The 24,910-nt window shown below is 44.7% G+C and overlaps 2 protein-coding genes and 1 long non-coding RNA gene across 45 annotated transcripts in view, besides 5 other annotated features; 1 reads left to right on the top strand and 2 right to left on the bottom strand.

Moving 5' to 3' along the window:
• ESR2 (estrogen receptor 2) overlaps positions 1-19,386 on the top strand; it is a 111,907-nt gene extending 92,521 nt beyond the window's left edge. For 2 of the 11 annotated variants that reach the window (NR_073496.2, NM_001291712.2), the window contains 2 exons: positions 10,943-11,123; positions 18,479-19,386. Coding sequence is in view for 9 of the 11 variants with exons in the window: in NM_001291712.2 (NP_001278641.1) it covers positions 10,943-11,123; positions 18,479-18,560 (263 nt within the window). In the remaining 2 variants the exon portion in view is untranslated. Of the gene's footprint in view, positions 1-10,942; positions 11,124-12,769; positions 17,777-18,047 lie in introns of those variants that run through there. The other 9 variants (NR_073497.1, NM_001271877.1, XM_047431076.1 and 6 more) reach the window with 5 other exon arrangements.
• Positions 9,980-10,249: an enhancer, noted in NCBI's record as "active region_8525". NCBI's record gives its function as "activates an Ori minimal core promoter by ATAC-STARR-seq in GM12878 lymphoblastoid cells {active_cell/tissue: GM12878}" and the evidence as "EXISTENCE:reporter gene assay evidence [ECO:0000049][PMID:35858748]".
• Positions 10,890-10,949: an enhancer, noted in NCBI's record as "active region_8524". NCBI's record gives its function as "activates an Ori minimal core promoter by ATAC-STARR-seq in GM12878 lymphoblastoid cells {active_cell/tissue: GM12878}" and the evidence as "EXISTENCE:reporter gene assay evidence [ECO:0000049][PMID:35858748]".
• On the bottom strand, positions 10,906-18,594 carry LOC124903328 (uncharacterized). The gene is made up of 2 exons (XR_007064205.1): positions 18,506-18,594; positions 10,906-11,231 (listed from the first exon to the last, which is right to left on the bottom strand). It is a non-coding gene; the product is annotated as an uncharacterized LOC124903328 (long non-coding RNA).
• Positions 13,613-13,682: an enhancer, noted in NCBI's record as "active region_8523". NCBI's record gives its function as "activates an Ori minimal core promoter by ATAC-STARR-seq in GM12878 lymphoblastoid cells {active_cell/tissue: GM12878}" and the evidence as "EXISTENCE:reporter gene assay evidence [ECO:0000049][PMID:35858748]".
• The window catches only part of SYNE2 (spectrin repeat containing nuclear envelope protein 2), a 464,854-nt gene continuing 459,587 nt past the window's right edge, over positions 19,644-24,910 (bottom strand). For 15 of the 33 annotated variants that reach the window (XM_047431152.1, XM_011536576.3, XM_047431149.1 and 12 more), the window contains 5 exons: positions 24,389-24,559; positions 22,713-22,904; positions 21,546-21,632; positions 21,048-21,097; positions 19,644-20,774 (listed from right to left, as the gene is read on the bottom strand). In XM_047431152.1, the coding sequence (XP_047287108.1) occupies positions 20,567-20,774; positions 21,048-21,097; positions 21,546-21,632; positions 22,713-22,904; positions 24,389-24,559 (708 nt within the window). In that variant the 3' untranslated portion in view covers positions 19,644-20,566. The remainder of the gene's footprint in view (positions 20,775-21,047; positions 21,098-21,545; positions 21,633-22,712; positions 22,905-24,388; positions 24,560-24,910) is intronic. The other 18 variants (XM_011536578.2, XM_005267456.2, XM_047431153.1 and 15 more) reach the window with 6 other exon arrangements.
• Positions 20,113-20,612: an enhancer, noted in NCBI's record as "H3K4me1 hESC enhancer chr14:64692199-64692698 (GRCh37/hg19 assembly coordinates)". NCBI's record gives its function as "activates a minimal SCP1, AML or CMV promoter by ChIP-STARR-seq in primed H9 embryonic stem cells {active_cell/tissue: H9 hESC(primed)}" and the evidence as "EXISTENCE:reporter gene assay evidence [ECO:0000049][PMID:30033119]".
• Positions 20,613-21,114: an enhancer, noted in NCBI's record as "H3K4me1 hESC enhancer chr14:64691697-64692198 (GRCh37/hg19 assembly coordinates)". NCBI's record gives its function as "activates a minimal SCP1, AML or CMV promoter by ChIP-STARR-seq in primed H9 embryonic stem cells {active_cell/tissue: H9 hESC(primed)}" and the evidence as "EXISTENCE:reporter gene assay evidence [ECO:0000049][PMID:30033119]".

Below are 24,910 nucleotides of genomic sequence, written 5' to 3'. Positions count from 1 at the left end.
GTGATTACAGGTGTGAGCCACCACATCCGGCCCACCAGCCAGGATATTTGAAATTGATCATGGAATAAGATCAACCCTTTCTGACCTTTTCCAAACCACCTACCAACATTACCTCACATAGGTGCTGCCATTTCTGTCAAAGGGAGGATCTGCTTGAAGAGTACCTTCCCATCTTGGCAATGGAAGATCATCAAATGCCAGATGATGGGGCTTCTCTCACTTTCAGAAATAATTTAGATCTCTTTTCTGTGCAGGAAAGTGCTTCTCGGAAAGCACTGTTTGCTTGTTGTTACAACACTTTACAGTATAAAGCCTTCTGTTTGGCAAGGCTCCTTATAGGCATTTTAGCCTCCCAGACATCATATTGTGTTGTTGTCAAAGCTAGACGCAGCATCTGTGCAAATGGGAAAGATGAAGGCTACAGCATTCCCCTGCAGCATGACAGAACTGCCACATTGAGATAATTACAGAAGGCGAGGGAGACATGTGATGTAATTACCACTTGTGGCAGTAAACGAGTAAAATTTGTTTACTGTAAATCCAAGTTTAAGAAATCTTTTTTTTTTTTTTTTTTTTTTTTTTTGACAGAGTCTTGCCCTGTCGCCCAGGCTGGAGTGCAATGGTGCGATCTTGGCTCACTGCAACCTCTACCTCCTGGCTTAAAACAGTTCTCCTGCCTCAGCCTCCTGAGTAGCTGGGATTACAGGCACCCACCACCACGCCTGGCTAATTTTTGTATTTTTAGTAGAGATGGGGTTTCACCATGTTGGCCAGGCTGGTCTCGAACTCCTGACCTCGTGATCCGCTTGCCTCGGCCTCCCAAAGTGCTGGGCCCTCGCCTGGCCAGAGATCTTCTTTTAAGGAAGTTCCTTTCTTGGTAGTCATAACAATTGTCAAAATAAATTGATCCTGTTCAGCATTGCTATGGCGAAAATGGGACAATTTTCACTGCTAGGTTAAGTGAGTCTTTTCTATGCTAGGTTTTAAGGATTTGTAAGTACAGGCTTTTTTCTTCTGGATTATTTGTGGTATTTAAATTTAAAAAAAAATAGGGATGGAATCTGCCTCCCCGCCTTAAAATTTAAAACCCTGACAGAATATATAAAACAGATATTGGACATTGGACAACAGTGATCCCCAGGAGGAGGGACACAAACGAGGAGAGCCCTTTGATTGTCCAGTTTACTGCCTGGAGCCAGTTTCCAGGTTGCAAAGCAGGGATGGGTGTGTTAGGTTTCTCCAGAGAAACAGAACCAATAGGATGGATAGGTAGGTAGGCAGATAAATGAGAGGGGATTTATTATGAAAACTGACTTGAACAATTATGAAGGCTGAGAAGTCACATGATATGCGTCTGCATGCTAGTGAACCAGGGAAGCCAGTAGCATGGCTCAGTGTAAATGGAAAGACCTGAGAACTAGGGAGCTGGTGGTGTAACCCTCAGTTTGAGATTGAAGGCCTGAGAAACTGGGAGGCCACTGGTGTGAGTCCCAGGGTCTGGAGGCTGGAGAACCTGGAGTTCTGATGTCCAAGGGCAGGAGAAAATGGGTGTTCCAGCTCCGAGAGAGAGAATTCTCTTCCTCTGCCATTTCGTTCTATCTGGGCACTCAGCCAATTGGACGGTGCCTGCCAACATTGGCTAAGGGCAGATCTTCCTTACTTAGTCCACTGTTCTTTCTTTTTTTTTTTTTTTGAGATGAAGTCTTGCTTTGTTACTCAGGCTGGAGTGCAGTGGTGCCATCTTGGCTCACTGCAACCTCCACCTTCTGGGTTCAAGCGATTCTCCTGCCTCAGCTTCCAGAGTAGCTGAGATTACAGGCATCTGCCACCACGCCTGGCTAATTTTTTGTATTTTTAGTAGAGATGGGGTTTCACCACATTAGACAGGCTGGTCTCGAACTCCTGACCTCAAGTGATCCACCCACTTTGGCCTCCGAAAGTGCAGGGATTACAGGTGTGAGCCACTGTGCCTGGCCTTAGTCCACTGACTCTAATGCCAGTCTCTTCCTGGAACACTCTCACAGACATACCCAGAAATAATGCTTTATCTGCTATCTGGGTATCCCTTTATCCAGTCAAGTTGACACCTAAGACTAACCATCACAAAGGGTAACCCAAATAGACACCAGTGGTCTCCCTTGGTAGCAAGGCAGCTAGGACTTGGAGGGGAGAGTACTGAGTGGGAAAGAGCTGCACAAAGAATTTTGGAGATCTATGGAGAGTCCTCTTCAAGTCTTCAGCTGAGTGCTAATCTGCCCATGCTTATGAGGATACCAAGGACAGGGAAAGAACCATCAGAAAGGAGCGGGCGAAACAATCCCTAGAGTTCACACAGGGCCAGGAACAGTTCACATTCTCACCAGCCAGTGGGAAAAACCTTGCAGTTCACTGGGTATTGGGCACTTCTCAGCCTTCCTATAGTATTCAGAAGGGTATTGCCTCAGTAGTGGGCCTAGACTAAAAGCCATTATGATCCTACCAAACAAAAAAGCAAGCCTGGAGGATCAAACAATTGCTAAGTGATTTAACTGCATCCCAGCACAAAGCTCAAGAGTAGAGACACATCCCATTTCATTACATGTTGCTTTATTGTGCATCACAGATACTGCATGTTTTTACAAATCGAAGGTTTGTGGCAATGCTGCATTGAACAAGTCTGTTAGTACCATTTTTTCCAACAGCATGTGCTCACTTTATGTCTGTGTCAAATTTTGATAACACTTTGCAATATTTCTAACTTTTTCATTATATCTATTACAGTGATCTGTAATCAGTGATTTTTGATGTTACTATTGTAATTGTTTTGGGGTGCCACAAACTATGCCCATATAAGCTGGCAAACTTAACCTATAAATTTGTGTGTTCTGACTGCTCCACCAACTGGTGGCCCCACCACCATCTGGAATTCTGGGAGAATTCTACCATGCATTTGAGGAAGGAATAATACCAAGTGATATGGTTTGGCTCTGTGTCCCCACCCAAATCTCATCTTGTAGTGCCCATAATTCCCACATGTTGTGGGAGGGACCTGGTGGGAGATGATTGAATCATGGGAGCAGGTCTTTACTGTGCTGTTCTCATGATAGTGAATAAATCTCACGAGATTTGATGGTTATATAAAAATGGGAGTTTCCCTGCACAAGCCCTCTTCTCTTGTCTGCCGCCACATGAGATGTGCCTTTCACCTTCTGCCATGATTGTGAGGCTTCCCCAGCCATGTGGAACTGTAAGTCCAATAAACCTTTCTTTTGTATATTGCCCAGTCTTGGGTATGTCTATCAGCAGTGTGAAAATGGACTAATACACCAAGTTTACACATACTCTTACAGAAAATTGAACAGCATGGAATGTTTTCCAATTCATTCTGTGAGGCCAGCATTACTCTGATAGAACACTCAGACTAACACACTAGAAGAAAAGAAGACAACAGACCAATTTCCCTCATGCATGTATAAGCAAAAGTTCTCTAAATTTTTTTTTTTTTGGTAACTAGAATCCAAAACTGTATTAAAAGAATAGCACATCATGAACAAGCAGAATTTTTGGGAATACAAGGTTTCTTTAACATTTGAAAATCAATCAAAATTCATATTAACAGAATAATAATGAAAAACCATATGATTTTATATATATATATATATTTTTTTTGTTTGTTTGTTTGTTTTGTTTTTTTTGTTTTTTTTTTTTGAGACAGTCTCACTCTCCGCCCAGGCTGGAGTGCATTGGTGCTATCTCAGGGCTCACCGCAACCTCTGCCTGCTGGGTTCAATCAATTCTGTCTCAACCTCCTGAGTAGCTGGGATTATAGGTGCCTGCCACCATGCCTAGCTAATTTTTGTGTTTTTAGTAGAGATGAGGTTTCACCATGTTGGCCAGGATGGTCTCAAACTGCTGACCTCAGGTGATCCACCCGCCTTGGCCTCCCAAAGTGCTAGGATTACAGGTGTGAGCCACTGCACCTAGCCATGATTATCTTAATAGATGCACACAGCATTTGACAAAATCCAACATCCACTCCTGCTAAAAACACTGTACAAACAAGGAATAGAAGGAAACTTCCTCAATCCATTAAAGGGCACCTATGAAAATCCTACATTTAATATTATACTTAATCACAATCAGGAACAAGGCAAGTATGTCCACTGTCCTTAATTCTATTCAACATTTTACTGTAAGTTCTACCCAGTGCATTAAGGCAAGAAAAGAGGTAAAAGGCATCAATATTGGAAAGGTAGAAGTGAAAGTCTTTATTTAAAAACATGAGAATCTATGTAGAAAGTCCTAAGGAGTCTAAAAAATGTGAATTTAGCAAGTTTGTAAGGTGTAAGGGCAATATATATAAATCAATTGTATTTCTGTGTGGCACCAGTGAGCAATTGGAAATTGAAATGAAAAACCACTACCATTTACAATAGCATCAAACATTGTGAAACCTTGGGAATAAACTTGCAAAAGACATGAAACCTGCACACTAAACACTGCAAAATATAGCTGAAGGAAATTAAAGAAATCCTGAATAAATGGAGAGAGATGTTAATGGATCATAAGATTCAGTATTGTTTTCAATCTATAGATTCAAACTGATAAAAATCCCAGGAGGCTTTTTGGTAGAAATTGATAAGCTGATTCTTAAAATCATGTGAAAATGCAATGGACATAGAATAGTCAAAACAACTTTGAAAAAGAACAAACTGGGAGGACTTACACTACCTGATTTAGAAGATAATGTGGTATTGATGTCAACAGAAACAAATAGATCAATGGAACAGAGAGTCCAGAAATAATCTATACAACTACAGATGTTCCTCAATTTATGATGGGGTGATTTCCCAAAAAACCCATCTTAAGTTGAAAATATTGCTAGTCAAAAATATACTTAACACACCTAACCTACTGAACATCATAGCTTAGCCTAGCCTATCTTTTTTTTTTTTTTTTTTTTTTTTTGAGACGGAGTCTCGCTCTGTGGCCCAGGCGGGAGTGCAGTGGCGCAATCTCGGCTCACTGCAAGCTCCGCCTCCAGGGTTCACGCCATTCTCCTGCCTCAGCCTCCCCAGTAGCTGGGACTACAGGCGCCCACCATCACGCCCGGCTAATTTTTTTTGTATTTTTAGTAGAGACGGGGTTTCACCGTGTTAGCCAGGATGGTCTCGATCTCCTGATCTCGTGATCCGCCCGCCTCGGCCTCCCAAAGTGCTGGGATTACAAGCGTGAGCCACCGCGCCCGGCCAGCCTAGCCTATCTTAAATGTGTTCAGAATACTTACATTACCCTGCAGTTGGGCAAAATCATCTAATATAAAGCCTATTTTATAATACAGTAATGAACATTTCATGTAATTTATGGAATACTGAAAGTTACTGTACTGAAAAACGAAAAAACACAATGGTTGTATGTGTACTGGAAGTACAGTTTCTACTGAATGCAAAAACTTGCAGCTGAGTGTGTTCATTATCTTGGTTGTGGTGATGGCTCCACCATGTATATGTATGTCAAAGTACATCAAATCGTACACGCAAAATATGTGCAGGTTATTGCATGTCAGGTATACCTGGATGAATCTGTAAACAATGTAATGAAAGCAAAACAAAAAGATTAAGAGAGCAAAGTTTGTAGGCTAAATGGAAAAGAAATACCACCAAGCGGGGAACCAAATCACAGGGTGGAGGCCCTGGAGGATAAGGGTCAGGAGAGGAGAAATGGGGGTAGGTCTCTTAAGTCAAAAGGCTGCGAACTTCTCTATTCCATGTTAGGATAGCAGAGTTTCCAAGCGCTGCATTTGGTTGCTGCTAGATGGCCTTGCCAGGCTAGATAAGCATTGGGCTGTCTGACGATGGTCTCCTGCATAGTTTGGTCTCCTGTTTTCCTGTGTATGTGACATGCTTAAGTTAGGATTATGTCACTCAATCACATCTGCAGTGGTACAGCACGCTAGCTGGCCAGGTCGCGGTTTGTCAGTAGTCATGTTTTAAAAGCTGCCCATTTCTGGGTTATGCATATCTACTAATAATGGCTATAATATGGAATGGAAATTAACTGTGTCATCCAGCTAAATTTCAGCTCAGTTTCTGGTATGTATATTAATGACTTCTAAATACTAAGGATGTCAAAATGATTTAGATATAATGCTTTTGGTCTAGAATGGGATATATACTCAAATAGTTAATCAAAGGTCTGATCCATGGTGGGCTTAAGTGGAGAGGCACATATTTCTCTCTTGGGGAGGCAAGGGAAAGGACCACAACATTCTAACTCTCTCAGCCAATCCTCTTCCACTATGCATATATAGGTTGTGTGGTACTTGGAATTCCTGTATCATACTTAGCCTTTGATATGGCTCTTGAGAGTAAGAGACAACAGAAAAATGTTGCATTTAACAACCTGTTACAATGCTTGTTAGAGTGTTTTTATAAACTCTAAGGTGTTATGCAAGTGTCATAGTTAATAAAATAGCCTACCCAACACCCAACAGACAGACTGGCCATCTTGCCACCCAAATCCTCCCTTGGATAGAATTAGAGGGGGTATGGAATTTAGGAATTAGAGTGTAATTAATTACATTGATTATCCATAGTCTTTAAAATATTTTAAATTAGAAACAAGTCTATTTAAACAGTTTTAAGATTTACAAAGGATGAAACTTTTCATTAAATGAAAGAAATAGAGGGGTTAAGCCAGGAAATCCTATTTTACATTAAGAAAATTATTAAGAGACACTGGCTTAAACCCTAGTTCCCTCTGAGTTTATAGGGAGAGTTCCCATGGAGTGGGTGGGTGGAGAAGACAAAGACATAGATGGATGCTGATGAGGAAAGATGCGGGGGTCCTTTTCTGTTGACCAAGAACACTGGGGCAAAGCACAGTTGAACAGCAGCCTGCAGCCTCACACCATGGCACCTTTTGAGTCCCATCTGCCCTCATGTGCTGGGGGCAGGAGGTGGTGACAGAGGGCGTGGGTCATGGCCAGAGGTTCCTTTCCTCAAAGCAAACAAGCAAACGCCACATACGGCTCCCCAAAGCCAGGACTTCTTCCCTTTGGTCAGTATTCTGGGACTTCTATTAGCACATTAGATTTTTCTCATTTATTTGCCTTCAGTCAAGGAAAGCTTATGTTTTCATCCTTTGAACAAATCAGACGTGGCAAATCTTGAAGGAGAGGTGGCTGTCCCCCACCACTGTGCTGCTCAGAATGTCACCAGGTGGGCTGGTGAGAGGAGCACACAGCTGTTCCCAGCTGATAAAGGGGAGAGAAGATTGTGTCCTTGATTTTATTTCACTTTCTTTGGTATGTGTGAGGCATGGTGCCAAGATCTTGGTTTTTTTTGTTTTTTTTTTTTAAACTATACTTCTTCCGTTTCATCAAAAGTAATTTAATTTTGTTTTACAGTGAATCCTAACTGATGTTTTTACTTTTGGGGGATGGAGAGGGTGCTATATTTTTGTGGTTTTCTGTGCCTGACTGGGCAGAGCTTTGGATCTTGTCCCTTGCCCCATGCTGCCCAGGGCCTGCCACTTAGCAAGTACTCTGTAGATATGTATTTGATGAGCAAGGGCCTGAGCATGGATGTCTGAGGTGCAGGCACGCACTGCTGACTGGAGAGCCAGGCAGCAGCATGGGTATTCTTCAGCACAGTTCTTTTCTGGGAGGGTATTTCTTTTCTATGTGATCAATGAGAACAGGAGTCTCCAGGATAATTTTATGTAAGTCAGTCTTTTTGTATATACACTGCCCCCCTACCCCACCATATGTAAAATGGATTTCGCATATGCCTTTCCACAACTGCAGTGCCTCACCTCCCCAAACCGCTGTGGCTGATGGACTCTGGGCCCCAGGTGGAGCTGTGCTGCCCCTACAGCCTGCAGAAGGCCCAGGGTCTGGCCTTGGCAATGACTGTGGTTCGTGAAGTGGGTAACACAATGACACATACGTGTTCTCTGAGGGGAAACTTCGTTGCACACAGCCCAGGGAATTTATGTTATTGTAACTTTGGTTCTGAGGCGTTCTTTTATTATTATTATTACTATTATTTTTAGTAACAGCTTTATTGTGATATAATTCATTTACCATATAATTTATCCATATTAAGTATACAGTTCAATGTTTTTAGTTTATTCACGGTATGTGGTGCAACCATCACCACCATCAATTTTAGAACATTTTCATCACCTGAAAAGAAACCCCATGCTTCTTAGCCATCATTTCCCACTCCCTATCCCACCCACAGCCCTAGGCAACCACTAATTTGCTTTTCTGACTCTATGGATTTGCCTATTCTAGACATTTTATTATAAATGGAATCATACAACATGTGGTCCTTTGTGTCTGGCTTATTTTGCTTAGCCTGATGTTTTCAAGGTTCATCTGTATCAGTACCTCATTCCTTTTCGTAGCTGAATACTATTCCACTGTATGGATAGACCACATTTTGTTGAGCCATTCGTCAGTTAGTGGACATTCCACTTTTAGGCTGAGTTATGCTGCTATGAACATTTGTTTATAATCTGAGGATTTGTTTTTATATTTTCAATCTTTGTCACTTTGAACTGAGACATGTACAGGCACACAATTTTGGCTCCTTTTGGAATTCCCAGACATAGTATTGCTTGATGGCAGCGGAAGTCCATGGAGCACATGTCATGCAGCTGAACACACTACGGGGTAGTTAAAAGGAAGTACTTGTTTATGCAGATGGGGTTAATTTTAGGGAAAGTAAGCTTGAAATAATTTTCTCTGTACTTTTGATAATTTTCTGTGTGTACCTAAAACATACATTAGCATGCATATTTACCATTTCAAATATGATGTGTGTTTGGCTAAAAAAAATAAGGGTCTGGCCGGGCACAGTGGCTCACGCTTGTAATCCCAGCACTTTGGGAGGCTGAGGCAGGCGGATTGCGAGGTCAGGAGTTTGAGACCAGCCTGGCCAGCATGGTGAAACACTGTCTCTACTGAAAATACAAAAAATTTGCTGGGCATGGTGGCGCATGCCTGTAATCCCAGCTACTAAGGAGGCTGAGGCAGGAGAATTGCTTGAAACCGGGAGGCGGAGGTTGCAGTGAGCTGAGATTGTACCACTGCACTCCAGGCTGGGTGACAGAGTGAGACTCTGTCTCAAGAAAAGAAAAAAAAAAAAAGGTCTGTGCCCTCAAAGCACTCATGTCCAGTCTTGCTGAGGGCAGAAGGGTGGCTGTGGGGTGTGTGTGGGGACAAGGCAGACATCCAGCATGTGGGGCAACATGGTGTCTCTGCTGAGGATGAACAGGGCACTGTCAGAGTATCAGGGGACACCTCAGACCAGACTTAGGGTGGGATGGTAGGGAGGTTGGGGGAAGCTTCCAGAAGGAATTTCTGACCAGGTTGGAATCTACAGGAGGAATGGGTATAAATGAGCAAAAGAATCAGGGTAGAGAAAGAGGAAGGAGAGAGTTTCCAAGCAGCAAGTTGAGCATGTTCGGAGCACCACACATTCAGGGAGTTGAGAGGGGGACTCAAGGCGAGGTGTGGTGGGAACTGCAGATGAGAGAAGCGGGGAGGGCCCTGGTACCTCTGATAGCTGCACCAGGTGGTTTGGACTCTATCCTATGAGCTGGGAAGTCATTAAACGGAGCCCCATGAGCAGATCTGCTTTTTGGCCTCTCAGAAGGGGACACACGGGGCCAAGGGTGGGGTCTTGTTTCCCCTGCGGTGGGAGGGCAAGTCATCTCTGGGGCGACAGTGGGAGGTTTGAGGCTGTGGGGGGATTCTGGAAGAACCAATGTGGAGAACAAAGTGAGCACAGGGATTGGAGAAGCAGCTTCAGGGCTATTGAAAAGATGAATATTTTAAATTCGTATCATCAGACATTATGGAGGTCCCTAGGGATGTGGCAAAGCACTACACTTACGTAATTGTGCTTCAGAATGTCCCTTGCCTTACCTGAGTTAAACTTAGTTGAATTGAGCTGCCTTAATTGAACTGAAAGTGCCAATAAAAATAGAGAACAAAAACTGCCAAAACAAATTCTGTGGTTGCTGGAGCACCAGCCATCATCAGTCTCATGACAGCCAAGACTCAGCAGCTCCCTGGTTGATTTCACATATTTATTCTTGCTTTGAAATGGAAAGCCTGGAAGAGAAGCTAATTATTAAAGGGAATCAAGGAGTCAGGCAGGGGTCGGGGGGAGGAGATTTATCTGAGCTGTTACTTTGCTGCCATTGGGATGCCACAGTATCTCAATCCTAGAGTTGGAGGGGAGTTAAACACAGGGCAGGGCAGGATGGGGGAGGCAGCCTACCCAGGACGTGGCTGTGGGGACCTAAGCAGATGTGTTCCTGCATGCGTTGCTCAGTGAGGAACTGAGGCTCAGAGAGCTCCAGATGGTGGCTAGAAAGTAGGTCTGTCTGACTCCAAATCAGTGGTCTTCCTGCCCCAGCCAGGTGCCACTCAAGCGAGATGCAGAGGTGGTAGCAGGGGCCCTGCCATGGCTGGCTGCGGCACGTGGTACACACAAGGAGGTGGCAGAGGAGGCTTCATCACATTGGCCATTCCTTTGTTTATTAAACTCCCTTTAGATGGGGAGCCCTCCGTGGGGCTAAAAGTAGAATTAATCTCACTTTCTGACCATCTCTGTATCTGTTGCTGCAGATGAGAAACACCACGTAATGATTTCGGGAGACTAGATATACTCGCCACGGCAAGGCCACAATTATGGGCCTGGTGGACACTTCAGGTGGCAATTTAGTCTGTCTGCATTAGGCCAGGCTTCTCTTCTAGCTCTGTGACGGGGCTGGCTCTCAGGGAAGATCCCCTGGGGGAGGTAAGACCATGCTTATAAGCTCCTGCCACACATGCAGCTGTCAAAGCAACCCAGATCACCTCGGAGCAGGCGCACGGAACAGCTGAGCACACGACTTCTGCTCCTTTGCTCAGAGCAATGACTTCTGGCTTTTATTCTTTGTCCAGGTATGTACCCTCTGGTCACAGCGACCCAGGATGCTGACAGCAGCCGGAAGCTGGCTCACTTGCTGAACGCCGTGACCGATGCTTTGGTTTGGGTGATTGCCAAGAGCGGCATCTCCTCCCAGCAGCAATCCATGCGCCTGGCTAACCTCCTGATGCTCCTGTCCCACGTCAGGCATGCGAGGTACGCGCCCTAAGGAGCTGCTCTGCTTGGGCTTGGGATGGGATTATGTGCTCCACGGAGGGTGAAGTGATTTGGGAAAAGTGTCTGCAAGTTAAGGAAAATGAATGCCTGAAAGGGAATGGGGAATTTGTCAGTTCACACACCTGTAAGCAAAGATGGGCACAGAGTGGGCATGGAAGGAATGTCATGTGGTATCTTACAGGCTCTGCATGGCAGCCAGTGGTGGCTCATGGGTTTTTCAATTGCTGGGGTTTATAGCCTGTTTATGGAGTCCTAAAAGGGGCAGTTCCTCCCCTAACACGAACTGCCACCCCTGTTTACACCACCCAGGGCTGAGGCCCTGAGGCCACTTTTTGTGGAGAGGCTAAGACCCGCTCCCCTAGATGGCCCCTCGAGCTGGTGATGCGAAGAAGTGCACAAATGCTTCCCTAAGAGTTGTTCTTTCGGTGGCATCAGGAAATTAAGGATAAGACTTAAGAGAAGTGGTGGACCCAGCAGATTTAGGAAGGCAGGGCTGTAGGTAGGGCATGTTTCTGATCAGGAAACGTAATTGTGTGTGCTGATGAAGAGGGTGTGCAGTGGTGGCTACTGTTGGTACAATGATGCTCAGTGCTTGGTGTCACCCACGATGAGGGTAGCCTTGCCCTGGAGCTGGAGGAGGGGAGGGGAGGGTGGAAGGTAATTAACTGGTCACTGAGGAGGCAAGTCTAGAGGCTGTGGAGAAGGACAATATACACCTCGAGAATCTTAAGTGAGATGAAGACCTCTGCCTTTCCCCTTTAATGATTGCTCAGCACATAGCCATTTGCAGAACAGATCCTGTGTTTGTAGATTCCTTCATTGTGAATTTATCTGCTTGCTAAAATTTATTTGTAACCCCAAAATCAATATTTGTGGTGTTTTTGAGGTCATGAACAGAGTGGCAGAAATTTTGAGTTGCCCTTTATGTACAGTCCCAGCTGAGATGGAACAAGCAGCTGCTCTCATACTGTCAACAAGTGTCCTTTACTTGGTCTACTTAGTGCCATGGTTTTACATTTTTGTGCTTTTGGTGACTTCACTGTTTAAAATGCCCCCCTGGTGTGGTGCTGAAGACCTGTCTAGTGTTCCTCGGTGTGAAAAAGCTGTGATGTGCCTTATGGAGAAAGTATGTGTTAAGCTTTGCTCGGGTGTGAGTTATAGTGCTGCTGGCCATGAGTTCAATGTTAATGAGTCAATGGTATTTATCACATAAGGCATCTTTAGAAAGAAACACACATAAAACAAGGTTTTGTATTGATCAGCTGATGAAGATGTGGCCAGAGGCTTGCAGGAACCTAACCCTGTATTTCCCCTATGAGTGAGGATTCAGTGTTCACAGTGACTTTACGGAACATAATTACCGCAAACAATGAGGATTGATTGTCCTATGTGTCAGGCCATTGTAGGTGTGTGGTGGGACACAGAGGCTGACAAGACATCGTCCTTGCCCTTGAGCCTAAATTATCAGGGGGAGCTGGATGCACGAGCCATGGATAAATGGGCTGGGGGAAGAGTGGGTTTAGGGGTGGGGTAGACTGGCTCTGAGCAAAGAGAGCCGGGGAAGGCTTCGGGGTTCCTGTGGCTGCCTCGGAGGAGGGAATCTCAGCACCTTTTTGTCCCCATAGTAACAAGGGCATGGAACATCTGCTCAACATGAAGTGCAAAAATGTGGTCCCAGTGTATGACCTGCTGCTGGAGATGCTGAATGCCCACGTGCTTCGCGGGTGCAAGTCCTCCATCACGGGGTCCGAGTGCAGCCCGGCAGAGGACAGTAAAAGCAAAGAGGGCTCCCAGAACCCACAGTCTCAGTGACGCCTGGCCCTGAGGTGAACTGGCCCACAGAGGTCACAGGCTGAAGCGTGAACTCCAGTGTGTCAGGAGCCTGGGCTTCATCTTTCTGCTGTGTGGTCCCTCATTTGGTGATGGCAGGCTTGGTCATGTACCATCCTTCCCTCCACCTTCCCAACTCTCAGGAGTCGGTGTGAGGAAGCCATAGTTTCCCTTGTTAGCAGAGGGCACATTTGAATGCAGCGTTTCCACACTCAATGGCCTCATAGGATCTCAGTGTGGTCTTTCTTACTTTCCTTCTTCCTTCCTCCCCTTTGTGAAACATCTTAAAGGTTTTGGAATGAATGGTGGAAATCTGACTTGGAAGGGCTGCGAATCAGAAAGGGGAGAGGAAGTGACACGCTTACAGAAGTGGGCTAACCCTTCTTGTGTGGCACACACTACCCTTCCCTCTGAGAGTTGACCTTTGCTGTTTTCCGGACCACTCCATTGTAAGATTGAAAACCCCTGTGGCAATTGCGTACTTACCTCCCAGGCCTGTGGGGACTGATCATATCATATGATGCTTATTCTGTCAAAGGCCAGAGGGACTGTGGTTAAGCTGGGATGTGAGTCATGTTCTCTCCCTGACCTTGCTGCCAGCTGCACACAGATTTGTCCCTCTCGATTTGTATTCACAGAGCCTGCCAATAATTTGGGGTATGTGTGTATGAGCGTGTGATCATTTTCATGCAGGACTGTGGGAGATACAAATCTCGCTGCTTCTGGAGCTGCTCTTCCTTAAACCTGTTGTCCCATGGGGCCAGCGTGGGTGCTGGAGAAAGGCCGTGTTTGCAGGAATGGGGTTCTCTCCTGTGGGTGTGGGTGACAGCCACAGTGTTTCCCTGGGGCAATGTGGATGCAGTTTCCATCTTGTACAACCTCATAAGTAGCAGCCACAATTGCCCCATCAGTCACCACAAGTAGTCAGGGATACTTTGGGCTGTGGATGTGTGCAGTGTGCTGTTTTATGGATGGATGAGTAGCTATGCACCCCAGTGTGTCAGCTCTGGGGCCACACTGTATAGCCTTGATGAGTACGCCCCTTGAACAAGACCCAGTTTGTGAACTCTCCTTAAAGAGAAATATTTAGGGATAATTATTTATAGCAAGAAAGAATTCTTTTACACTTGAGAGCTCTTTTAAAAATATTTTCTTATTGGAAAATTTATATGGTGGGCAGGGTGAAAAAGAAACAGTAAAAATATTAGTTCTTATTCCAAGTGGAACATAAATAGGACATGAAGAAGGGCACCTCTGAAATGACAACTTTAACTCACCTTTTAAAAGATGTGAAATTTCCAGTTTTGGATACACGGTGAATATGTAAAATGAGTAACAGCATACTATGGAAGCCAGCAATTAAATAATCATGTTTCATTATTGCAGTAACGTTTTAAACAATTACCTTGTGATATGATATTAAATATATTTTCTTTTTGAAAATATGTTCACTTTGGGTAGCACATCCTGTATTTACTAAGTCATTAGGAAGACTGCATTCAGTGTTACCAAGACTGGTTTTTGCTAGTAAGACCTCGAATAATCCATAATTTTGATATTGGTGCAATTTTACTATAAGTTGAGCTTAGCTGTTTCAGAAATGCTTGGACAAGTACCTAGAGAACACACTGATGTCTGTGTTCTGAGGCAGTCTGAAGTTATTCTTAGAGACTCAGTTACAGCTTTAGTAAGATTTAGTACAGGCAGGATAAGCTTGGTTTCATAGGAACCAGGGAACCAGTGTTAGTGTCAGCTTCTTTCCTCCTGGTCAGCCTAGAATCCCCCACTCCCAATAGAGGGGTTTGGAAGCTGGAGAGTAGGAAGTAAGAGGCAAAGAAGGCAGCCTTCAGCAACTCATTATCTGCCAGTGAAATTCTATTAAATGTATTTTTAAAAGAGATTACCAGGTAACAAAAACATAAAAAACCAAAACAAGGCCAGATGTGGTGGCTCACGCCTGTAATCCCAGCACTTTGGGAGGCCGAGGTGGGCGAACCACTTGAGCCCATGAGTTTGACTCCAGGCTGGGCAACATGGAAACCCTGTCCTACAAAAGATACAAAAATTAGCCAGGCGTGGTGGTGCAGGCCTGTAGTTCCAGCTACCTGGGAGGCTGAGGTGGGAGGATCACCTGAGCCTGGGGAGATCAAGGCTGCAGTCCATTGCACTCCAGCCTGGGTGACAGAGGGAGACCCTGTCTCAAAAAAAAAAAAAAAAAAATTGCCACGAAATATATATATATATATATATATAATTTTTTTTTTTTGAGAGTAGATCTTAAGACAGAGATCACTTCTACTCCTGGGAGTGAACTGGCAATGGCAATCCCTTTAGAGCCTCGAGTGGGCAGTATCAGGAGCGCCGCACAGTGAGTTTCCAGCTGAGCTATTCTCACCGAATCTCGCTCTGTTCTCACAGCACCCCTCTGTCAGGCCTGTCTCATAGTGACTGCCCACCAGGACTGACTACAAAAGACTTGACCCTAAAATAGTCTTGAAGGGATTTTTCTCAAAAAATTAAGGCGGGAACACAAGACAAAGCTGTCAGCCTAGTCACAAATCTGAAGACTCAACTGCATTAAAAATAGTGCAAAATCGGCAGGAGCTGTACAGTGCGAGTCTTGGTCTGGAATACTCCCCCTGCTAACTCAGCTGGAAGGGCAACTATCTTAGATTTCAGTAAGGAAGAAAAATCAGTTACCAATACTTGGCAGAGCCATATTATATATCCATATATATTTATGTATATAAGTGGAATTGAAGCAATTCTAGAATTTTCTAGCATGTGAAAGCAGGGTTTAGTTCTTATTTACGTCTGCTAAGGGACTTTTCAAATTCAAAGTGAACCTTCTGTTTATAGGCCTATTTTGAAACAAAGTATCCTCACTTAATAAGATTTGACACCTTTTTTTTTTTTTTTTTGAGACAGGGTCTGACTCCTGTTGCTCAGGCTAGAGTGCAGTGGCGCCATCATGGCTCACTGCAGCCTCGACCTCCTGGGCTCAAGCGATCCTCCCACCACAGTGCCCCATCCCACCCCATTCCCGCCCTCGCCGAGTAGCTGGGGTGCACACCACCACTCCTGGCTAATTCTTTTAATATTTGTAGAGATGGGGTTTTACTATGCTCCCCAGGCTGGTCCTGAACTCCTGGGCTCCAGCGATCTGCCTGCCAAGGCCTCCCAAAGTGCTGAGATTACAGGCATGAGCCACTGTGCCCAGCCCCGCCACATTTTTTTTTAAGTTGCTGAAAATCTTTTAAAAAGATAAAAACACATTATTTAGTATCTAAAGATAATATCTGTGCCAGACACAGTTCTCAGTGCCTCAGACATTCACATTTAATCCTTATTATAATAACTGCTATTTCCTTATTTTCTGGTTGTGGAACTAGACACGGTCTAAGCAAACTTGCTGAAGGTCACGTGGGGAGTAGGTGATTGAGCTGAACACAGGCAGTCCAAGTCCAGTGCTGACAGTGACCATGCACTTCAAACAGTTTAAAAATTTAAAGAAAAATATTTTAAAACTGCAGAATCTATCAGGTGCAACCTGACATGCACGGCTGCTGTGATTTAAATGGGGCCCCCTTGTGATACCCCCTTACCTCCCACCACAATGTCCAGAACACCCCTACAGACACAGTAAGTTTGTAAACCTCTCACATCAAAGTTCAACTCCACCTTTCATATCTGTGTAAATTAAAGCCCACGGGGGCAAATTCACCTATTCAAGGTCATAAAACTACTCATGGCAAAGCTTGGACTGGCACGCAAGTCTTCTGCTTGCCTAGCGGGCCAGTATTGCTCCTGCCCCAGGACTTGCTTCTGTGAGAATCTGCTTTGTGAGCTGAGTCGCAGCAGAATGGAGGGGCGGTGAAGTTAGGGTTGTCTTCTGCTGTACCTTTAGATCCCATCTCCTCAGCTTAGATGGGTCTGCATGAGCCTTTACACAACAGCAGCAATGACAGATGGAAAAATAAGATGCATAATCTGTTATTCCCATTGTCCCATCTCAGGTTCATGAGCTCTAGTGGGTACTGTGATCACCTCCTGTCTGTGACTGCTTTCCCCAAACACGTGGAATATGTTCCTTGGAAGTGTACTCATGTAAAATTCACATCTTTTAGGCACTGCTGCTTCCCTGTGGAGTGTGATATACTACAGTGTGAAAACACGTGCCACTTATTCTTTATAGCTCTCAAACTTGCTGGAATTTTGGCTCCAGTGGCAGCTCTTAAGATGTGCATTGTCTGTGATGTATGATCGTAGTGCCATTTTTGTTGCTTTGGAGTCAGGGAGGTTTTTTGTTTGTTTGTTTGTTTGTTTTTTAATTCCGAGGATCCTATTCACTTGTAGGGCCAGCCACTGGTAAACTGGTGGTGGGTTTCCTCTATGGGAAGCACATAAGGAGTGGTGATACCAGCCGCGAACAGTTCCTGTTAACTGTACAATGGATGTTTTTGCATTTGTTTCCTCTGTTGGGTGTCTAAATGCCTTAACTGTTGGTCCTATACCTTTTGTCATTCAATGTGTACTTCAGAGCCTGTTGGTTGGCTATAATTTGCCATTTTCTCAGACGAATGCTTTGTATCATTACACTAATTTGTTGACTTCATTTGCAGGCTTTACATTTGGGCCTTGTAGAAATGAATGTTTGCTGCTCTGTGAAAGCAGATTTTGAGACCTGCTTTCCCTTCCTCCAGGGAGTGTTTTCCTTACTGTGTCCCTTTAATGTCTATGGCACTGTCGTAGAGAGTTTAACATGATATAAATAAAGTGTTTCATTATTTTGGCTTTAAAAATGTATTTGTTGGGGGTTGAGTGTAAGAACTTACAGTAATTAGGCTAAGTAGTGTCTACATTCTATTCTGAATTCTTATTGTGGGGTTAGAGAGTCCTTTGAGAATTTGATGAAAACCAGGGCTAGTCTTCCTGGGAAAGGGCACCTGAACACAAATGCTTGAGTACAATTTCAGAAGAGTTAAGAAGCTCTGCTTTAATGTATCTTCTTAAAAAGAACAATTTCATCTTTAGTCAGCTAATCTCACACTTGTGATTGATTTATGACCACAGGTCCTGTGTATACAAGTAAAATGCAGCTCACAAAAGTCCTGGTATCCAGTGCATCGATTATTTGGATAGATTTTCTGTAATCATTCTGAGTTTGATTAGAATTATATCCTTTACAGATGGGGAGAAAAGCAATTCATTCATTTGAAGTTATCTTAGTGCCAAGAGTCATGTGAAAATGTCCCTTGCATGTGGGCAATGAAAGATTTGCAGACGATATAAAACCCAGACTACCTCATAAAAGAGTTTTGGGAATACACTGAGCTTTGAGTGAAAGAAGCTGCAGTGGCCTCCCTGGAGATGGGGAGCAAACCAGCTTAAAGGCCCTTATCCTGAGGAAGAGACAAAAATTGACATGCACAATATTAAGCTTTGAAATGCAGACCACACTTCCTTTCACTGCAACTTTGACTTGTCCCGCATCTCTACTTAAGGGCAGAAAAGGCCTCTCAAACACTCACCTCATTTGGAATGAAGATGGAGACTCTTTTGCCTGAAGCAACGATGGAGCAGTGACCCTCTAATCAACTCGGTGGCCTAAAGAAAAATCTTGGGTAACATTTTCACTTCAGTTTCCCTCTGGGATCATTGTAATCCATGAAAAAAATAATTTTAAAGAAAGAGTTAAAATACTTTGAAGTTAGTTATGTGGTTAAAAACCACCTTCCTTTCTATTATCAATCCAACAATTTGATAACTGTAAACGCTAAAGTGAAGACGGATTCTCTTCAGATGGTCTCCTTAACTGCCCAGGGCTTGCAGATGTCTCACCCATGAGGGGCACCAATGTAGAAAGCTGAGGCTTCATCTACTGATGAGCTTCACTGGTTTCCCCTGAGGTTTGTGCTTTGGCAGAGAAGGGGAGGAGGGGACTGGGATTGTGTGGTCAGCTGTGCCTGCCAACAGATGCAGGTTAGGAACTGTGTTCAGTATCTTCCAATAAGAAAGGGGAAATGCCGATGCCTATCCTCTTTGTTTAGGTAGAAAGTAAAATGCTACTGGACTTAAATGGGCAACAAGGGGCTTTGCCTGTTCATTTGCCATGGAGAGGGCTGGGAATCCAGGTGCGGTGGCTCACACCTGTAATCCCAACACTTTGGGAGGCCGAGGTGGGCAGATCAGTTGAGGTCAGGAGTTTGAAACCAGCCTGGCCAACATGGCGAAACCCCGTCTCTATTAAAAATATAATAATTAGCCAGGCATGGTGGTGTGTGCTTGTAATCCCAGCTACTCAGGAGGCTGAGGCATGAGAATGGCTTGAACCTGGAAGGCAAAGGTTGCAGTGAGCCGAGATTGGGCCACCGCACTCCAGCCTGGGTGACTGACAGAGTGAGACTCTGTCAAAAAAAAGAGTAGAGTAAACTGGGTATAAGATCCTTCCCTTTGCGTCCACCTCTCATGCCATGCTGCCTTTGCCATTCCCTACAATAGCTGAGGGTCACACGCTGAATAATTTAATTTACACATACACGAGGGTCCAGAGCTAAGTTAATTCTGTAAATAAGACTTAGAATAAAAGGCCCTCTCCAAATATTTTAAAAATAATAATTTTTGTTTTTTGGAAGATTAAGCATACCACTGAACTGCTTTGTTACAGAATTCAGTACAACAGAAGTCTGGCTAATTTTGTTTTTTAATGAGAAACATCTGAGTTGTACATATCACAAACAGCTTCAAGTTTCTGTACCAACCCCCCGCCCCCACCCCCGCCGTGGCCAAACAGTTAAAACCCAAAGCAAAGCATCACTTTGGATGTGAAAAAGTCTTAGAAAATTAACTTACAAAAACATCCCTATCAAGTCGGTAGTTTGGCATTTACTTTACATTAGTCAAAAGCTCCAGCTAAAATCTAATTTTTTTAAAAAAAAATCGAAGTTTACATTATTCATACAGATTGGGCATTGTTAAAAAATATGCACAAATAACCACATCCATGCAATACAATTTCTTTAAAAATTTAAAGCAATATAAAAGAGCAGAGCTAGGTACTGAACAGAACATTTTGGTGTATAACCGGCAGCTCAAAATTGCCAGCTGATTGGAGTAAAACTGATTCTAAGCGTATTAAATATGATTGATTGTTTCCATCAGCTAAGGGTGCCTATGAGTTTCTGAACCATTTCTAGGGTGGAATGTCCTCGCTTGCTTCTATAATATATGTGATGGACACCACTGCTCATTGACCATACCTACATTATAATAATGCTGTTTTACAAACAAACCAGAATTCACAAAGTGCTTGGCTCTTCAGGAAACTGACATTTCCAGAGATCCCTAAACTAATCAACTAGTTCTGCCAAAATACCCGGGGCACCTGCCACACAGGTTCCCTGCTCCTGGGGAGGAACACAATCTGAAAGCTGCCCTGGGCTCCAGGGAGCCCGTGCTGGGTAAGCCCAGAAGAAGTCTGCACAGGTCCCGGGACCTTGCCAACACTAAGTCACTCAGATTGGTCTGGGGCCACGTGCTGGGCACCCTTGGCAATCAGGCAGGTGGTGTAGCACTGTGGCCAGCTATGCCCTCTATGTGGGGGGTGGCCCATTGGTGTACCTCAGCATGGGGTAAAAGGACCGGGCAAAGTTGTTGGCCTGAGTGCAGCTGTAGTCTTCTTCGGAGGAGGGCAGCAGGCAGGCCAGGAGCAGCAGCAGCAGGAGGAGCAGCTGCAGGGGTAGGGCTGCCCGGACCACCCTTGAGAGGAAGGAGCGCTGTGGCCGTGTGCTGCCGGGGACCCTGCCAACAGAGGAGGTTGAGAGCTGATTGGGAGGCTCCACAGGCACAACCCACTCTATTACCTAAGCCCCTGCTTATGTAAGTAAGAAATCCAAGACCTGAGATTTAAATAGGGCCAACAGTTGGGGTTCAGTTTCAGAGGAGAAAACCAGCCCTTTCCAGACAAAAGAAAACCAGATTTTTGCAAGGACCTTGATAGTGGCATTGGCAAGACTGAGTCAGTGGGAGTGTGGAGCAGGGGAACGCACTGCTGTCACGGTAAAGCCCCGTTACCTGCTCTCTGTCTCCTCCTCGCCTTCTGTAGTTCTCACTGCTCTGAACTGCTGGGTAAAGAAACTCCAGTTAGTAAGTTGAAGACAGTTTAGTCCTATCAATGATAAAAAAAAAAAAAATCCTCCCTTAAATTATATACCACCTTTATGTTGTGTTACAGCCAAACTTTGGAGACTAGAGTAATACAATTGAGATTAAACGTCACCTGAAGTAGGAAATAATTAGGTTAATCTACTCAGTTTCAGGGTCAAGTGTGTTGAAGTTTTTAATGGCAAAATCAGGGAACCCCTTTAGCGACACTATAAGAGCTCTCATTCACAACCTACTGTGATCCCAAAGAAGAGTGACTAGAGGCAGACTGTAAGCCTCTCTATGGGTCAGCAGAGACCTGTGCTGTCCTGAAATGGCTAATGGGCTCTTGGAATCCCAAGCTTCCCTCATCTTAGTGACTTTAAAAAATAACCAGTGAGGTTCTCACAGAAGGAAGGGGCTTCTTACCTTTGCTCGGGGAGCTGGCACGGATGTTGCAGGAGGCTGGTCCCCCGAGTCTACCTCGTCGAAGCTGGGCAGGGGTGAGGCTGGGTTCTGAAATTCAGACCCCAAAGGTTGAGCACAGAAATGTGTTTCATGCATATTCTTCATGATATAGCTCACCCTCCCCTACCTTAAATCAATCTTTTTTTGTTTTGTTTTGTTTTAGACAGTCTCACTGTGTCACCCAGGCTGGAGTGCAGTGGCACAATCACAGGTCACTGCAGCCTCAACCTCCCAAACTCAATCCTTCTACCTCAGCCTCCTGAGTAGCTGGAACTATAGGCATGCACCACCACACCTGGTTTTGTATTTTTTTTTTTTTTTTTTTTTGCAGAGACGGGATTTCACCATGTTGCCCAGGCTGGTCTCAAACTCCTGGACTTAAGTGATCCACCTGCCTTGGCCTCCCCAAGTGCTGGGATTATAGGCATTAGCCACTGTGCCCAGCCTTAAATCTTTCCTGAAGGGGCTCTTCTATTGCTCTCACTCCCAACAACAACAGACTTTTTCGGACAAAAAGGAATGTAAACAAGGAAAAGCCAACCCATATTAAAAACCAACCCATAGCACAGAGCTGGGGAGACTGAGTTTAGCAGCAGCAGTTTGAGTAGATGGTGAGCTCATCACAGGTCGGTGATGAGATCATGTGGCCATCAAGAGAGTCTAGTTTTGGCTGCTTAGGAGAAAACAGACCTGCCCTAAGTCTGGTGAGGCCACAGTCTGGGTATTCCCTTTGTTTTGAGTTGGATCCCATTTTAAAGTAGGCCAGCTATGGTGGCTCATGCCTGTAATGCCAGAACTTTGCATTGCTTGAGGTCAGGAGTTCAAGACCAGCCTGGGCAGCATGGCAAGAACCCTTCTCTACAAAAAATACAAAAATTAGCCACTTCCTTTAAAAAAAGTTTAAAAATTGTCATCCCGCCACTCCCTTTTAAAAATGACAAAACAGATTCAAAGAGCTCATGCAGCTCTTTAAGTCCACACAGCTAGAAAAAGGGCACGACATGAGGCCCCACTCGGACCACCTGGCCCTTGCTTCTGGCCTCTGTCTTAGAGCATTGCTACAACACTGCTGTCCTGTCTGCATGTAATACGGCAATCTTTACAGTTAAAAGCTACAAGTAGACTCACCTGGGTTCCCTGCAAGGCCATTAAATCTTGGGACACTTGCTCCCGTAACTGTTTGAGTTTCTTCTCAATAACATGCACCTTTTCTTCAGCTTCAATACAGTCTTCTCCATGTCCCTTAATGAGAAGGCTGTTTGAAATCTCCTGTAACATGTCCACTTGAGGTTGACGTTCTACCAGCTCCTTTTCCAGTTGCTGAAAACAGATAAAGTGTGTGAAACAGTGACCTGTCCAAAGGGAAGCGAGTGTGGACACAGGAGGTTTTTCTCAGTACCAGAAAAATTCCAGAATGAATGATGGGTAGTACTCAACTCGAGAATCCTCTATTTCTCATATCTGCCTGTGTCCTCCAGCCCAGCACTATTTAGATAGCAAGTGTATTATGCCCTGCCCCTATTTTTAATTTCTTTTCACTCTGAAGACAATTGTGATGCTGGAGAAATTAGAAGAAAGAAGTGAGGCAAGTGGTGTGGGAAGACCAGGTCCCTCATCCACCACGGAAGGAAGTAAAGGGAAACTCTAAAGTCAATCAACCGAGAAACAGCAGCGTAACCATAGAGGTTCATACCAGGCAAACGGGCTTTAATTGTTAAGGGTGGTTATCTTGCTTGCAATATGGCCACTAGACACATGTGGCTATTCATTTATTTATTTTTTTGAGGTGGAGTCTCACTCTGTCGCCCAGGGTGGAGTACAGTGGCACGATCTGGGCTCACTGCAACCTCCGCCTCCTGGGTTCAAGCGATTCTCGTGCCTCAGCCTCCCAGGTAGCTGGGATTACAGGCGCCTGCCACCATGCCCAGCTAATTTTTCTTGTATTTTTATTTTATTTTGTATTTTTAGTAGAGACAGGGTTTCACCATGTTGGCCAGACTGGTCTTGAACTCCTGACCTCAGGCGATCCGCCCGTCTCAGGCTCCCAAAGTGCTGGGAGCCACCGTGCCCGGCCTACATGTGGCTATTTAAATTAACTAAAATTAAAAATTCAGTTTCAGTCATAATAGCCACATTTCAGGTGCTTTAAGCCACATGAGGTTATTAGACAGTGCAGACACAGGTCATCTCTATCACTTCAGAAAGTTCTACTGGACGCCACTGCTTTGCTTTGCAAACATTTTAGGAAGCTGTATTTTTAAACAATGGCTAGCACTCTGATTAAAATTTAAAATATTTAAACCACATACAGATTTATGGATGAAAATGTCACCTTGAGCACCAGTGAGAATACAGAAATCTCATCTTGGTGTGTTAGTGACAAATACACCAGGACACGACTCTCCTCCAAGAAGAAAGATTTTTCCATAGTGGATACAGAAAACCCATTCAGCTCATCACAGGTGTGAAGCAAATGAGCACCATATTTCTCCCCAATGAGCAGGATTCACGAGAGAAAAATACTTCCACTCAAATGGCCTTAAGTTCCTCAGGATATCGAGAGCACCTATGTCCTCAGTTCTGTGGACTGTGGCTCTCCATTCCTGCAAGTCATTTGGCTTCAGAACTACAAAGGGCAGCTCGGTAAACACCAACTGGAGGAACACTAGGGCTGAACTCGTGCATTTACAGGCAAACACCACTGGCACAGTTCCTGAAATACTAGGCGAGGCTACCTGAGTGTGCTGCCTCTCTGGGGCTGACAGAGGCTGGTGGCAGTACAGAGCCCTTGGGAGGAAACTTACCATTAGTTCCCTCCGACACTCTAGGAGAGCCCGGGGGTCTGCCTTTGGATCGGTGACATGAGCCTTCTGCCTCCGGTTCTTGGCACTCGCTAACCACAGCAGCAGATTTTGACTCAACTGGTGGAAGTCCTTAAAAAACAACACATCAGAGCGCGGCCGTGTCTTAGAGCCCTGGAAGAGGGTGTGCCAGGAACATGGCTTACTGCTTCCAATCCATCACAGTCATTTGCTTTTCTGGCCTTACCCACTGAATACGAGGACCAGCTTTAAACTAAATGCCAGGGCCCCAAAATGAGGAAGAGGAAAGAAGGAAGACACTCAGCACAGTGCCAGGAGGCCGCGAATAAAAGTGCCACTATGAAGGTAGGGCTTTGGGATGCCCAGCTGATTTTATATATGAAGGCCACACGCATTCCTCAGCCAATCTGCTGGGTTCTCTGCTGGGTTCCAGTGGCAGAGGGAAACAACCCAACAGGACAGGCTGGGGTGGGCTCACGTTCCCTGAGACACAGCCAGAGCTAG

This window comes from Homo sapiens, chromosome 14 (assembly GCF_000001405.40).
Source record: "Homo sapiens chromosome 14, GRCh38.p14 Primary Assembly".
Taxonomy (NCBI): Eukaryota; Metazoa; Chordata; class Mammalia; order Primates; family Hominidae; genus Homo; species Homo sapiens.
The sequence above is the reverse complement of the archived record's forward strand: the minus strand, read 5'-3'. Positions and strand labels throughout refer to the sequence as shown.